The sequence below is a fragment of the Homo sapiens genome, chromosome 1 (assembly GCF_000001405.40).
Source record: "Homo sapiens chromosome 1, GRCh38.p14 Primary Assembly".
In the NCBI taxonomy this organism is placed as follows: Eukaryota; Metazoa; Chordata; class Mammalia; order Primates; family Hominidae; genus Homo; species Homo sapiens.
Window position 1 is genome coordinate 237,381,218 of NC_000001.11, and position 16,307 is coordinate 237,397,524.

Here is a 16,307-nt window from a genome sequence, read left to right on the forward strand (position 1 = left end):
CTCCAGCCTAGGTGACAGAACGAGACTCCGTCTCAAAAAAAAAAAAAAAAAAAAAAAAAGAATGCTTAAAGAAACAGCAGATATTTAACCAGAAGAAGAGATAGTTGGGAAAGAAACAGTGAAAGGAACATTATAGGTGATATTAACTAAAGATCTATCATGTGAAAGCAAGGTTCATCTTCTGAAGAGATGCTGGTGTTGTTAAAAATAAGTAAGTTTAACAATGTGTCTGATAACAAATTAGTTAAAACTAACTTCTAAAAATAAACATTTCCAGTCATTGATTTTACAACTCCTTGGTGATCAGTGTCTATTGACCGATGAGCGATTTTTCTTTCACTAACAGCGATGGTTAAGCTAAGATTAAACTAATAGTGCATGGGGTACACTAATACAACTATTACAATGCTAAATTGATGAAAGCTGGTTGAGAGGGTTGGTTTTCACCCTGTCCTCTGAGAACATGCCTTGTGGACAGAAGAGGATACTGTGGACAGCACCTGGGATTGCTGCACCGTTGTCTGCTTTATATGTTGAACATTGGGGCTCAATTCTGAGGTATAAAGGGTCTTAAGCTCTAAAAATGGTTGTAAACGCCTCACCCAGATAATGTCTTTTCTCATTTTTGCTGTTTTATGTTCTGAGGTAAAAGGATATGTTAATCTTCTTTTCAAAAATATCCAAAAGGAAAGAATTTTTTTTGCTCATTGAAAATCTTATTTTCTTTTAAAGAAGGCCTTAGCAAAGCACCTTAAGAGAAATATACAATTTAAAATAGAAAAAACATGGCCAAGTAGATATTACTGACTGAATTTATTTCAAACTAAACAAAATGAATCTTACAAAACAATTTTTTTCTGTGTGTTAGGTGTAAAAATCACTCCAGTAAGCCCAAATGTTTTCAATCTGTGGATTGGATTGTTTGCACTGGAAATGTAGATTTCCAACTGATTTTCTACTGATCAGGTTACTTAATGAAACAGGCCAAGTTTTTCGGATCTGTGAAAACATTGCCAAATAAACAACTGATTGAAAATATATTAGGAAAAGCAGAATGCTTATCTAAAGGGTGATGGAAAATGCTTAAGAGAAAGCTATTCTACAGTTCAAAAAATTTCTTTCTTTCTTACCCAACTCTAAATTTCTTTTTTTATTTTTTATTGTTATTTTTTATTATACTTTAAGTTCTAGGGTACATGTGCACAACGTGCAGGATTGTTACATATGTATACATGTGCCATGTTGGTGTGCTGCACCCATTAACTTGTCATTTACATTACGTATATCTCCTAATGTTATCCCTCCCCCCTCCCCCCACCCCACAACAGGCCCCGGTGTGTGATGTTCCCCTTCCTGTGTCTAAGTGTTCTCATTATTCAATTCCCACCTATGAGTGAGAACATTCGGTGTTTCGTTTTCTATCGTTGCGATAGTTTGCTGAGAATGATGGTTTTAAATTTCTAATAAAAAATATAGATAATTATTGATTGCATAATAAATTGCTGAACTGCCTCAAGTTGTGTGAAAATAATGATAAAAGAGTGATCATAAATATTTTCAAGTGATTTATTATATGAACCAATTCATTTTTGATTAATTTGCTGTGAGCCTTTCTTTCCTCTGTGGCTCAGGTAATGGAACCATAAAATATTACATTTGGAAAGAACATCTATTTCTCTGCCCCTCATTTGTTTTTGTTTTTTTTTTTTCAGAAGAAAAAACTGATGCCTGAGGAGTAATGTGACTTGTTTACTTGTGTTTCCTGTCCTTAAATGACAATTTGTTCAGAATGTTGCATCACCAGGGCCGAAGTACCTGAAAGTTTAATAAAAAATGAATAAATGAATGAATAATTGCATCAGATAAGGGTTCAATTGAGAGATTCTTGGTACGAAGTTTTTGTACCATGGACTTCCATTGCAAATTGATAAAACTTATTGACCTCATCATAAAAATGGTGAAGTGCATAAAATAAATACGTAGGATAACAAAGGAAACTAAAGGTATTGAAGTATAGTCTGTGTACTCCAGCTAAAGAACTCCTGGAAGGTGATTTATCGTGTCCCTTCCATTTCTGAGATGTTGCACTTCTATCGTGTAATGTCTTGTTACTCTTGGATCAGCAGTCTTGATTGACAACCCCTGCAACTACTCTGCATTCCAATCTAGATTTTTTTACATTTTCTTTTCTTTTTTCTTGTTTTTTTTTTTTTTTTTTTTTTTTTTTTTTGAGACAGAGTCTTGCTCTGTCGCCTAGGCTGGAGTACAGGGGCACGATCTCGGCTCGCTGCAAGCTCCACCTCCCGGGTTCACGCCATTCTCCTGCCTCAGCCTCCTGAGTAGCTGGGACTGTAGGTGCCTGCCACCACACCCGGATAATTTTTTATATTTTTAGTAGAGACGGGGCTTCACCGTGTTGGCCAGGATGGTCTCGATCTCCTGACCTCGTGATCTGCCCGCCTTGGCCTCCCAAAGTGCTGGGATTACAGGCGTGAGCCACCGCGCCTGGCCCTTCAATCTACATGTTTAAATACAATATCCTCTGAAGATTCATGTGCCTATTAGAGCTTGAAAATCACTAGTCCTGGGATCAAAGTGAGACCCGGGTGCCCAGAGATTGGTGCCCAAAGCCCTTGTACTGCTGCTGGTGGACTGGTGCTACTATATTTTTGTGTAAATCCTGCAGTGGTTACATATTTCAGCCTAAGGCCGACTTGGCTTTCATCCTCTGCCAGTGTCTGTTTTTGCTTTAAGGATAATTCATCTCAGTTTCAGTAACTGAAACTGTTGTTGCTTTCTGAATATTGCATACCACAAGCCTGACGTGATGTAGTTTTTACCCAGACTTCCCTTTGCTGTTTAAGCAGCAAAATTGGAAGCATTCAAATTAGAATATTTTCTTCAGAAGAGTAGACCTTATTTAGAGAACTTTATATGACTGTAATATGATCTTAAGGACATATTTGGGACCTTTTCCCACAGACTGAAATTTTCATATGCTTATGGTTCTCTCATATTTATTATTTATCTTCAGGCATAGATATGATTTGGAAATTGCCTTTTTAACTCCGTCACCTATTTTATTACTGCTGTAAACTCCTTATTACCTAAAATCAAGGTCGTTGGTTTGGCGCCAGCCTTTGTCTGTGGACCTATCAGTCATTCCACCTCTTAGCATGTGCTGTCAGCCCCAAAGACAAAGCTCTCGGCTGTAATGTATGTCCCCGTATCTCCACCTTTGTGCTCACGCTCTTGTCTTCAACACATTCCCCTTATCACACATTCCCCTTCTCAGAACTTCTTAGAGGGCCAGGGGGCCCAGCCCACTTCTGATAGCAAGGTTTCTGGTATGTTAAAAATAAAAATCCCCAAATGGTTTACAAAAATTTTTGGTATGTTTTAAATATTTGCACATAGCGCATTCACATTACTAATCTACATACTCAAATCCAATGTATGTAGACACTTGTTTGGGGACAGCAAATATATAAATGTGAGACACAGGCCAAGTGATCCTACTGGCTCCCTCAAAGCCCCCAACCCATGAGAAACTCTGCTCTCATTTTGTTGTCTGCAGTGTTCTCTCCTTACAATTCCTGTAGCACGTTGATTATGATTTACACAGCATTTTTAAAGGCTTTTTCCTACCTTCCATATCCATTTATTTATTTATTATTTTATTTTTTTTTGAGAAGTAGTCTCGCTCTTTTCGCCCAGGCTGCAGTGCAGTGGCGTGATCTCGGCTCACTGCAAGCTCTGCCTCCCGGGTTCACACCATTTTCCTGCCTCAGCCTCCTGAGTAACTGGGATTACAAGTGCCTGCCACCATGCCTGGCTAATTTTTTGTATTTTTAGTAGAGACAGGGTTTCACCATGTTAGCCAGGATGGTCTCAATCTCCTGACCTCGTGATCCACCTGCCTCAGTCTCCCATAGTGCTGTGATTACAGGCGTGAGCCACCATGCCCGGCCGTATTTATTTTTTAATTTAATTGGTACATAATTTATTTTATTGGTACAAAATATCACATGTAGCCCATAAATATGTATATATTTTACATATGCATATACATACACAAAATACACAAAATGCTGTACCTCAGTATATAAAAAGTGTTGTGTGTAATGTTTGAGGTGATAGATATCTCAATTACCCTGATATGATCACTGCACATTGTATGCATGTATCAAAATATCACATGTGATATGTTTATATACTGAGGTACAGCATTTTGTGTATGTATTTTACTCTATGAGATTACAAGCACCCTTGGGGTGGAGAATGTGTACTATTAATATACATAGTACATTCAGTGAACCCATGATGAATTAACAAATGATGGTAATCTACTTATCATAATATTACATGAGCTTTCACTTGGACACAGATATGAGCACGGGTATTTTGAATTATTTTCAGAGTTTGGTTAAAATCGGTGTCATTCACATGGATTTGTATGTGTGTGTGCCTGTGCACGTGCTTTTTTTTACACTAGGTTATTGAAATACGAGTATTTATGGAACAGCTTAAAATGTGTGTTTTTATGTTTATGATACTTTGATTTTATGATTTTTGTTAGCTTCTCCACATACGTGTTTACTGGATAACATTGCCAGATGCTAGGAACACAGCTGTGAACCTGTGTCAGGTAGCTTCTAAAAGGGAAAAAGAAAATAAGCCCAAGAATTTCACTGTGTGATAATTGCTTTGAAGGGAAATATATTCTGCTTGTTTGTTAAAGCAGATGGGATATGATTTATTTGTAAACAATTAAACAGTTTTAACATACTGGAGAAGAAATTGAGTCAATAAAGGAATCTTAGCTGGGATTACAGCTAAGACTGTAAGAATGACAGATTGAAGTAAAGAAGAAATTGTACAAAAGCAGGCAGCTAGTTGAGGTTGAGGAGAGGAATAAGAGCAAATTATTGCCAAGTCTTATGTATCAACTGGTAAACTTTCAATCTTATTCATTGGAAAAATGACTGATAAACACTGTGTACATATCACAATGTTTAAAGTTTCTTTGGTTTTATTTTTAAGAGAAAGAGAGTGAACGACCTCTTCTTGATGGTGACTTGAGAATAGTATCTTTATGTTAAAGAGACCCGTAGGATGTTTAAAAGGCCTGTGGAGTACACCTAAGGTGACTACTTTAGGCGTGACTGATCATCTAAATAAGATGGTCAAGATTTCTGGGAAATTTCTGGTCTGATTAAAGTCTGTGAAAACTTAGGCTGTCATCAGCATTGGCAAAGCATTGCAGAAACATTGCAGGGATATTGGCGATGTTTACTGAGAAGACTCCACGAAAACAGGTGGTTGCTCTATGTATGTTTGAAATTCTAGAGGCAGCCAAGTTATGATGAGTAAAATAAGCAAGTAATTTTGTTTTTCTTAGTTAACATTTGATAATTCAGTCTTATGGCTCTAAAAGATATTAAGTATGTTTTATTTTAATGTGTTTCTATTTTTAGGAAGGAAAATCTGAAATGTGCTAGTATCTGAATTTCGGAAGAAATGTAGCTTGGTTTTAGATAGCTGTTAGGAAATATCGCCATCTAATGGCTTTTGCATCAAATTGCAGATAACAGTTCCTGAAGGACTCCATAAAAGACCCCATAAGACGCCTAAGGACTTCATAAAATGAAGACTCCATAAACTTGGTCCAATAGATTTCACTTACTTCATCATCAAAAAGCTGTCAGAGTGTGATATGTAGAAAACCTAATTATAATTTTAAGTGCTCATTTTGTTCATCAACCATCGTTAAAACAAAAATAGTATCTTGTTACAAATAAACTTATTTAGTGTATTCATTTATGCATATTTTGATTATTGACTTAAGTCAGTAACTGTTAGAATGAAGTTTAAAAATCCGTAAATTCAGAGAGGAACTTCTTTTCTTCTGACTAGTTTTTTGATTCTTGAATGACAGGTTGAAACAGATGTTCTCTATGAACATAACCAAATCAGCAACGTTAAGTTTGCATTCCTAGAAGCACTTACATGTTACAGCTTACCAGAGCCTGAAGTGATGCCTCCTTTTGCCTCTTGATACAGCACTTGTCTTATGGCAACGGCAGCTTACACGTGGATGCCGCTTTCCAGCAGACTCTCTGGAGCGTGGCCCCAATCAGCTCAGGAAGTGAGGCAGCCCAAGGTAAAAACTCCACTTCAATTAGAGGGCCTGTCCTTGCTGCAAAGTTGACAGTCATCTTTGGAATTGTGATAATGAGCTGATTGTTAATTAGAGCTTTTTGTCTGTGTCTAAATATTCTGTAATGCAGATACCTGACATTTGAGGATCTTGTTTAAACTGCTATTTTAACAGTGAAGCTTGGGTGAAGATTAATCTTCCCTTATTTTTATGCTACTGTCAGCTTTAGTTTATTTGTGTATGCTTTATGTGATAGCTTCCTATGGATTGTTTTCTTCAATTTTTTGACCTCAGAGTATTGCCTGGTTGGACTAATGTCAAGATTTCTTATTTTCTGAGGTCATGCCTTATAGCTGGAATACGAATTTTACAAAGGAGCAGGGTTTCCTAGGGAAATATCTGTATATGTTCTGGTTATTCCAACTTACATAGGTTCACATTTGATTCTAAATGTGTTTGTATGTTTAACAGAGGATTTTATGTGTCTGAGGTCATGCTTTTAGTGGGAATATCCCTAACTGTGGGACTCGGGCACCCAGGACTCAGAGGGAACAGCAGGCACTGTCTATCTCTGTGACCTTGGCCAGGTCCTTAAGACTCACTAGACTTCAGTTTCTTTACGAAAGTAGAAGATTGGACCAGATGATCTGTCTGGCTATCAGCACCTGACACTGACAGTCCAGACCTGAATGATTTTTTATCCTTACAGGGTATCTCATTGGTGGTGATGTCCTCAGGTTGCTGCATGGACACATGGACGAGTGTCTCACTGTCCCTTCAGGAGAACATGGTGAAGAGCAGCGGAGGTTAGTACCTGAGCTCATTGCATTGAGACTTGCACTCTTTTGCCTTGATGTAATGTTTTAAAAACTAGGGATCTATTCATTCAGGCCAGTAGCATCATACAAGATGGGCTACTGACATTCATTGATTCACTGAAGTGATCCATTTGTTGCCCCCTCTTAGCTTTTTCTCATGTTATATTTCTATTACCTACCAACAGAAGAACTGAAAATTTTTGTATAATTAAAACATATTAAGAAACACTGAACAAAATTAACGAAGTGAGAAGAGTGACCACATTGCATTAAACTACTTAGAACTTCATTAAATGCTCATTAGTTTTGATTAATTTTCTTTTTAGAATGTTTAATCTCAAACTCAGTTTTGAAGTCAGAGTTCTCAAATTGCGTACAATTTTAGGACCCTTTGCTATGACCTCTCATTTATTGATACAGATGATAGAATTGATCACTTTCTCTCATATTTAATCTGATATAATACCTCTCTCATGTTAATTTATTTGGCACTGGGACAAGATTACAATAGTATGAATCTACTGAGAAAAGTGCACAAATATTACAAAACCATAAAAATATTTAGAATAGTTTGCTACTGCTCTACCTTACAAATTAATCAATGAATGTAGTAAGATGAATATGTAAATAAGAGATTGCAGTGAGAGAAGGTACTGTGTGGATGGTTTGTTATGTATCTTTAAATCTTTTAGTGGACATTTTTCATATTAACATGGACACTTAGGTAACTATTAGTTAATAATTATTTATTTTTATAATTTAATAAAAATACATAGGGACCATTTAGAAAATTAAGAGTCATTTAACCAGCTGCATAATCTCAGGAAAAGTCCCTCTGAGACCTGGGTACTGGGTCTTAACCTCTGTTCCCAGGCAGACCTAGATAATGGTCAAGAGTGACATAAGTCCCCTGGAAACATTCCGTAAGCTAAAACTGCCTCTTTCAGTAGGTTTAGGAAGAAGATGTCGATGGTGTCAGTAGGGTTTGTATAAAAGATAATGGAGATTTTAAGACACTTGGATAAGGAATTAGTTTCAAACAGAAATATAAACTTAAGAACTAGAGAGATGTCAAGCATATTCTGGGAATAGCAATTATTCCAGAGTGATTAGGGGGAAAATGGAGGAAAAGGTGGAAAGTAGACAAGAGAAAGATCCTTAGTGCCATTCCCGTGGGCTGGCTTCTATTCTGAGGTTGTTAGGAAGGGATGTGGGGATCAGAGTGGAATAGTTAGTTCTCTTTTAAAATAATAACTCTGTTAGGCAAGGAGAACTTAGATTAGAGGTGGGGAGAATCTGAGTCACGGAAATGAAATGCAGTAATTCGTGTGACAAAATCCAAGAACTTAGCCCAGATAATGCCATCAGAATGGAGAGGTTTACTTGCATCATAGACATTTAGATAAAAGTGATGGGTTTAGGGGAGAACTAGACACAGGCTGTGAGAGAAGGTATCTAATCCAGCGCCATCTTTTTTTCTGCCTCAGGGGAAGACAGCTGGAGCTAAGGATTGCAGGAGATGGTACATGTTTGCTATGAAAGATGGAGTTAAACTTTGGTTACAGATGAGTACAGTCTATGAGACGTCCAGTAGGAAATTGGGATGTCTGAGTCTTTAACTTAACAAAACTTGGGATGGGTGCAAATTCTAAGTGTAAGGGGGATATTTAAAGGAATGGGGTCTATCATATGTTCATCAGATGGAGAGGGAAGAGCTGGGATTAGATGTGTTTGTCGATTGGGCATGGCCTTATGAAGGCTGTAAAGACCTGGAATAGCCTAATCAGGCAGGGGGCTGAGGATGGATTCCTACAGAATGCTGATGTTTAGGATGTGGGCAGAGAAATAAGAGTCAGCAAGAGAGTCAGAGTGATAGTTTAGTAGGGAACCAGGGAAGTTAGTCATTGAAGTCAAAGGATTGGGTTGTGGATATGTTAAATGCTATGGTGTGTTTATTTGGAGTTAGAGCTTATAAGAGACCATGCCAGAGTCTTTGGATCCTCAGTCCCTGATTTGTTAAATGGAAGACAGACTAAGTGTTTCTTAGAGCTTTTTCGGCTGTATCTACAGACACTGTAGAGCTTCGTGGTTAAGGTAATGGACTCTAGAACCAGACAGATCTGGGATTGGGGTTCTGCTCTGCCACTTACCAGTTGTGTGACTCATGTAGGTGACATAGTTTCTTTAAACAATGGTTTCCCCTCTTTGTAAAATGCAGCTTAAATATTATCTCCTGCTTTATGGGGCTATTGAAAAGACTAAATAAGAAAATACACGTAAAATACTTGATGCATATTGAGAAATCAACACATTTATTGTTATTATTTAGTCTGTTGCTATTATTTAGTCTGAAGAGGCAGCATTTAGCCAGATATGATTGAAAAGTTTGAGGGACTCTGGGCATATGGATGACAGAATGGCAGAGCATAGACTTTGTAGGAAGAGAGGCCAGACTGGATCCAAGAGGATCCTTTCGATGGCTAGTTATGATTGCAGAGAAATCTAGGGGACATTTCAAAGATATTTTAATCATGTTCTGGACCCACTCTCCCTTTGCATATATGTTGAAGCCTGCCCCTCCTTTCCAAATAGTCTTCTTGATTTCATGTTGATAATTTCAGTTCAACTTATTCTTAGTATGTAATTAGACCAGCCTATCAGGACTCTTGGTAGGTAGTGATGGTGGTAAGAACGCGTTTGTTTGTGTCCCTTTTTATAGCATATTTACATGGGTGAAATTAGATTAAAATGGATGTCAGATTATGACTCGAGGGAGAAAATGAGTCAGCAGTAGGCAGCATGGAGCTGAAGGGATGTTGCTTAAGAAAAAACTATTTGTGTTGGTTATACTGGGATTGAGCAATTATTTGAATAGAATGATAAAAATAATTCCTTGAATTTCACAATTATATAGCACTTCATTATTTCTAAATCTTGTTAATACCATTGTTTAGAAAGTTTTCAACCTCCCTCTGTTATTTCCCTAGGTCATTGTAAGGAACTTGGGGGAGGCAAAGGATAGCTCACCCCGGAAGCAGCCTTTATTTATTTGTTATCAGTCTGTACTGGGGGAGACATGCATAATGATCATCTAAAAATATACTTTTTTCATTCATTAAACAAAGAAGTAAAAGTAATTTGATTTTTGCACAGTGACATGAAAGCTAGAGAAGGTCCTGGGAAATATGTAAAAAAAATTTTTTACCTTATAATTCTTTCCTGTAATTATGATCTGGCTATACTCATTAATTGTATGCTGTTGTTAACGTTAAATAACTAAAGTCCAATTTACTTTGTTAGGAGACATAGTGGAAACTATTAAGGAGATGGCCAGAAAAGATGTTTACTTCTGAGTGATTTAGGAATAGTCTGGTCATAAATGCTGTGTTTCTACATGGATTTGTGCACCTGTTCCTGCTTTGTTCTATTGACAGTTATTTAATATACATAACTGTAATTGTAGCTATTGAAAATCCACCTCAATAATGGGTTTTATGATTCTGGATATCAGTAGAGTTACCTTTACCTTCCTCTTCACATTTAGATATGTATGTGTATGTGGTTACCTATTCATTCTCCTAAAGAATGTTAATAAAGCTCTTAGAATGAAGAGCATATAGAGCTATTCAGTTAAGAACAACTGAATTGGAGATGATGCCTATCAGAGTTAAACTAAATATTTATCTTTTTCTCATGCTTCCTGCCCATTTTGCTTTTATGGATTGAATCCTGACGTGTTCATGAAATACAGCATCATTATTGTTTTAAGTTACTTGAGATTTTTTTCCGAAAGACAAATCGCTCTAAAATGACTAGTAGACAACTTGTCTAAACAACAACAAAAATAGTAAAAATATAACCTATAGTAGTTGTGAGCAGTCAGGTATAAGGGAGAGAGCTCATTAGTATTAACTATAGTGTCGTAACTTTTTAGTTCTTATTAAACTCTTCAATTAGTGAGATAGAATGAGTTAAAGAGAAGCAAGTCTGGTAGTTGGGAAGGGATGTGTCAGTATCCCTTGTCAATCATGTTTTAATTATTGCTTTAAAAATAGGCTTTTGCACAACAGGGTAACTATAGCCAACAATAAATTTATTGTACATTAAAAAATAACTAAAAGAGTGTAACTGGATTGTTTGTAACACAAAGGATCAGTGCCTGAAGTGATGGATCCCTCATTTACCCTGAAGTGATTATTATGCATAGTATGCCTGAATCAAGGCATCTCATGTACCCCATAAATATATATACCTACTACATACCCACAAACATTAAAAATAAAAACTTAAATAGGCTTTCATTCTGGAGGCTTGACATTTGACTACTAAATTTTATTTCAAGCCTGACATATTTTATGTGGAGAGTATTTTCTGTTCTAGATTTTGTTTCTAGATTGCATCTCATTATTTCCATCCAAAATTTTATGTGAATATAATAAAATATCAACAAAGGCATTTCCTTTATGTGCACATAGACTTATTTATGGATTTGATATGCACTATGTGAATAAACTGTGCATACTTTTATATTGATACATTTTAAAATGGATGCATTGGGGAAGATTATTTGGGGCCTTTAGTTTGGAAATCTATTAAGGAAACATTGTTTGAAAAGCATTATTTATGTTAAAAACAGGTTTGCAATGTCGAAACTTTTTATTGATTCAATAAGAATGTGTAGAATGACTATGATTTTCTGGGTGCTGGGGCTATAGTAGTATACACAAAGTTACAAAGTTTATTTTCTCAAGAAGTTTACATTCTAGTGGGCATATGCGGCAATAAATACGTTTATTTCTAAATGTATACACTTACCCACATATACAGAGATGAAATGCATTAGGTGATGATAAGAGCTAAGGAGAAAAATAATGCATGGAAGGGGATGGAGAGTGTTCATGTGTGTGGTATGTTTTGTGGGGTGGTATGACGGAGAGGTGGGGAGAGAAGGAGAGAAAGCTTGTTCTTCTTCCACCTTATCTGGCATTGCTCTTGGCATATGCTTGCTGTGTCTTGTTACTTTCAAATGCAGGCCAATTAAGTCATAGTTTCTGACAGTATCTGGAAATAAATGCTACATTTGCTTCCCAAAATGTGACTCAGCAGGAAAAAGCTATGCCATGTGTATGCATGACAAGATTTTTACCTCCATGCCCCCTTTTAATATTATGATGATTTAATGAGCTTTAGTTGTAAATAATTGATAAGGCATGAGATGGATTGGATGTAATGAATTAAATGCCTCTCCATCTGGCTTAGAAAGAGATGCATAGTTTATATCTGTGTACACAACTGGATGACTGATATCCTTGTGAGGATATTTGTATGCCTTTGGCCACCACCTAGGAGGAAGCTCTTAAAGCTATTCTGTTGTTCTCCAAAATGGTCAAGGATAAAGTTTAACCTATGAGGGTTTTTCTTCTTTTTCTCTGTCTTCAGGTCCTGCATATATCTTTTCAGCCTGGAACTGAGAGTTAGATGAGTTAGCTAAACAGTCTTGATGGAATAGTCAGTACATAAAGGAGAGCTACTTTCTGCTCTTTGCCTCTTCTCCTTTGGGAGAGATTCGCTTTTTACCCCAAACTTAAACTCCTTGCTGATTGCAGAGAGTGCAGTAGCTGCTGTAGTTTGTCATGTGTTCTGGAAGCCTGACTTGGTCTAGAGCCGCACTCTCAAGGCAAGGACTGGGTAAAATGACTGCTTCAAAAACGTGGGCTTCTAACACAAGATTAAAAACATTCATAGGAATTTGAGCTGTTGGATCTTGGCAAAAATGAAAAACAATGAGACATTTGATGCATTTAGAGTATATGAATAGAAAAACAGACAATAGATTAAAATCAACATTATACAAAAAAATCTCTCGATGATTTTCTCAATTAAAATTTAAGAACATGACTTGTCTACACTGGGTTTATTAACTTAATCTATATGTAAGCAATATCTTTCAGAAGAAAAAAAGAAAGAGAAGCATCTTCTTTTGTAAATTTCCAGATGCCTTTATGGTTGTATTGTGTTCTGCAAAGCAATGGTAACAACATGTATTTTGTTGTTTTTCTGCTCTAGTCCTACCTACATGATTCTTTCAATGGTGATTCAAAGTGTAAGCTATTGTTGTTTCAAATCTGTGCTGATTCATTTACATTTTATGCAGAGGTGTCATCTCAAAACATACCTATTTTCCCTTGTGCAGCAACTTGAATAGAGCTATTGTGGCAAACTGAGCTCCTGAATAAACAAGTAATGCTTCTTGGGATGCTGGTTAGGCAAGTACTTCTTGATTTGTTACTAGGAAGAGACTCCTGACAGCTGCTTTAGCACCTGCCTGCGGCTCAGCTGCTCAGCCACATGCTCCCAAAGGTACCAGCAGCAGAAATTCTCCTATGAAAATGTGTCAACTGAAACGCTTATAATTTCACTCTGAAATAACCTTTTAAGACTGGATCTGCTTTTCAATCACCTCAACTCAATTCTTTTAATATTTATTGAGGGACTTGTATAGCCCAGACATCTTTGGCATGTGCTGGGTATGAAAACATGTCTAAGGCCCTGCCACTATCTTTCTGGAACTCACCGTCTCTATTAGTCTGTTCTCACACTGCTATAAAGAAATACCTGAAACTGGGTAATTTATAAAGACAAGAGTCTTAACTGGCTCACACTTCTGCAGGCTCTATAGGCTGGGGAGGCCTCAGGAAACTTACAATCATGGCAGAAGGCGAATGGGAAGGAGGCATGTTTTACGTGGCTGGAGGAGGAGCAAGAGAGCAAAGGGGAAGTGCTACACAGTTTTAACAACCAGATCTCGTGAGAACTCACTATCACAAGGATAGCAAGGGGAAAATCTGCCCCCATGATCCAGTCACCTCCTATCAGTCCCCTCCTCCAACACTGGGGATTACGATTCAATGTGAGGTTTGGGCGGGGACACAAATCCAAACCATATCACCATCTTTTAAGATCTCAACAACACTATATTCAGGATGAAGTGAATGTTAATCTGGGAGAAGCCATTTATAATTTTGGTAAAACTTAGATGGTAGAAAACATATTTTACCATTCAACCATGTGAGAAAGATCAGCCAAGTCTTTGTTGACCTTTGATTTTGAAGGATATTTTTGTCAGCCTATAAAAAGTTAACAAAAAAGCTTTGCTTTTCTCTAATTAGTTTGAACCTGCTATTCAATATCAACTCTAAATGGGAATTGCAGGTGAGTAATTGTGGGTGACTGTAACTATTTTTCAGACGATTCCTACATGCATTTTAAATACGAGGGTCTAGTCATACACGAACACAACCAAACTTGATTGAGGACACGTCCGCTAGTAGGACTGTCTTTTTTTTTTTTTTTTTTTTTTTTTTTTTTTGAGACAGAGTCTCGCTTTGTTCCCCAGGCTGGAGTGCAGTGGCGCGATCTCTGCTCACTGCAAGCTCTGCCTCCCGGGTTCATGCCATTCTCCTGCCTCATCCTCCCAAGTAGCTGGGACTACAGGCACCCGCCACCACGCCTGGCTAATTTTTTGTATTTTTAGTAGAGATGGGGTTTCACCGTGTTAGCCAGGATGGTCTTGATCTCCTGAACTCGTGATGCGCCCTCCTCGATGTCCCAAAGTGCTGGGATTACAGGCATGAGCCACCACGCCCAGCCAGGACTATCTTTAACTTCCCCACACTTTCACTTCCCGCATCCCATAGTGCCACTGATCACACGTGTTGGTCTGCATATTCATCTCTTCCATTCAGTTTTCAGCCAGGGCTGTGCCATTCATTTCTTGCATACCTTTTGCATAGTGAGGTATATATGGGAATCTGCATACAAATGCTATTGTTTCGTATTTGTGAAAGAAAGAAACGGAGAAAAAATAACTCTTGCACTTTAATGTAAGTTTGGTTAAGGATGGCTGTATAGAGAATCACCCTTGGTTGTGAGGTCCCCCATTTATATAATTTTGACAGTTCCTGAAGGATTGTTATCTGCCAGCAATTAGGGGCGGGGAAAGAAAGCCATCTTAATAAATCAGCATAACAACCTGAGTGAGTAGAAAACATTTTGAGGACTATGAATGACTCCAGTATGCTTGGCTAAGTCATCTATATTGAGAATACCTTGATTTCAAGTGAGTAACTCTACATACGGGAAGAGTCTCTGGACCAATAGAATAGGAATCTGAACGTTGATAACAGTGATTTAAAACAAAAGCATTTTTGGGGTTGTGGATATCTTTGAGAATCTAATATATGCTACAGATTCTTCCATAGAGAATTTGCATACTTGCCAACATGCACAATTTTTGTGATGTTAAATTATGTTTTCTCCCACTATTTTCTCTTATTTCTTCCCATTTAAGCAGCCAGCAGTCCCTGTGTTTCTTTGCCTGAGGGGAGGTTTGAGACTTGGCAGAAAGCTCAAGTTTTCTGCAAGGCATCTCTCTTCCTGACTCTCAGTCCCCAAAGACTAAATCTAAGGCATTTGTTATGCTTAATGTCTTGAACAGAAAGGAAAGAGGGATTCTTCAGACAGAAAAAGGAGACGTTTTCCCCAGACTTAAAAGACATTCACATGGATCAACTGGACTTCCAAACATACACAAAAGAGAACCTGGGCCTAAACTTCACATTTTATATCAAATCTAATTCCAAATAGATCACAGACTTAAATATGAAGCACATACTTTTAGGAAAACAAACATAAAAGTTTTAAGGGAAAAAAAATCAGAAAAAAATCTTTGGGATCATAGAGTTCTTAAACTTGACACCAAAAGTATGTCTATAAAAGAAAAAATTAGGCTGGACGCAGTGGCTCACACCTGTAATCCCATCACTTTGAGAGACTGAGACAGGTGGATCACTTGAGGTCAGGAGTTCAAGACCAGCCTGGCCAACATGGCAAAACCCTGTCTCCATTAAAAAATACACAAATTAGCCAGCTGCTTGGGTGGCTGAGACAGGAGAATCGCTTGAACGCAGGAGGTGGAGATTGCAGTGAGCTGAGGTCATGCCACTGCACTCTGGCCTGCCTGACAGAGCGAGACTGTTTCAAAAAAAAAAAAGAAAGAAAAGAAAAAATGATAAATTGTGTTAACAGAGAAGACAAAAATCTATGAAATATTTTACAGAGGTTAATTCTAAGCCGATATGAGTGACTGAAGCCCAGGGAAAAACACAAACTCAAGAAGCCTTGAGTAAATGGTCCCGAGGCCGTTATGTCACGACTATGTTTTATACAGTCTAGGGAAGTAGAAGTTACAGGCCAAGTCATAAGTGAATACATGGAGGTGATATACATCAGCCTTGCCTAAAAAGGTGGGATATCTTAAAGTGGCAGCT

General features: G+C 37.5%; 1 protein-coding gene across 18 annotated transcripts in view; it reads left to right on the forward strand.

Moving 5' to 3' along the window:
- The window catches only part of RYR2 (ryanodine receptor 2), a 791,805-nt gene that overhangs the window by 339,034 nt on the left and 436,464 nt on the right, over positions 1 to 16,307 (forward strand). For all 18 annotated transcript variants that reach the window (XR_007062490.1, XR_002957299.2, XM_006711802.4 and 15 more), the window contains 2 exons: positions 6,064 to 6,163; positions 6,870 to 6,966. Coding sequence is in view for 16 of the 18 variants with exons in the window: in XM_006711802.4 (XP_006711865.1) it covers positions 6,064 to 6,163; positions 6,870 to 6,966 (197 nt within the window). In the remaining 2 variants the exon portion in view is untranslated. The remainder of the gene's footprint in view (positions 1 to 6,063; positions 6,164 to 6,869; positions 6,967 to 16,307) is intronic.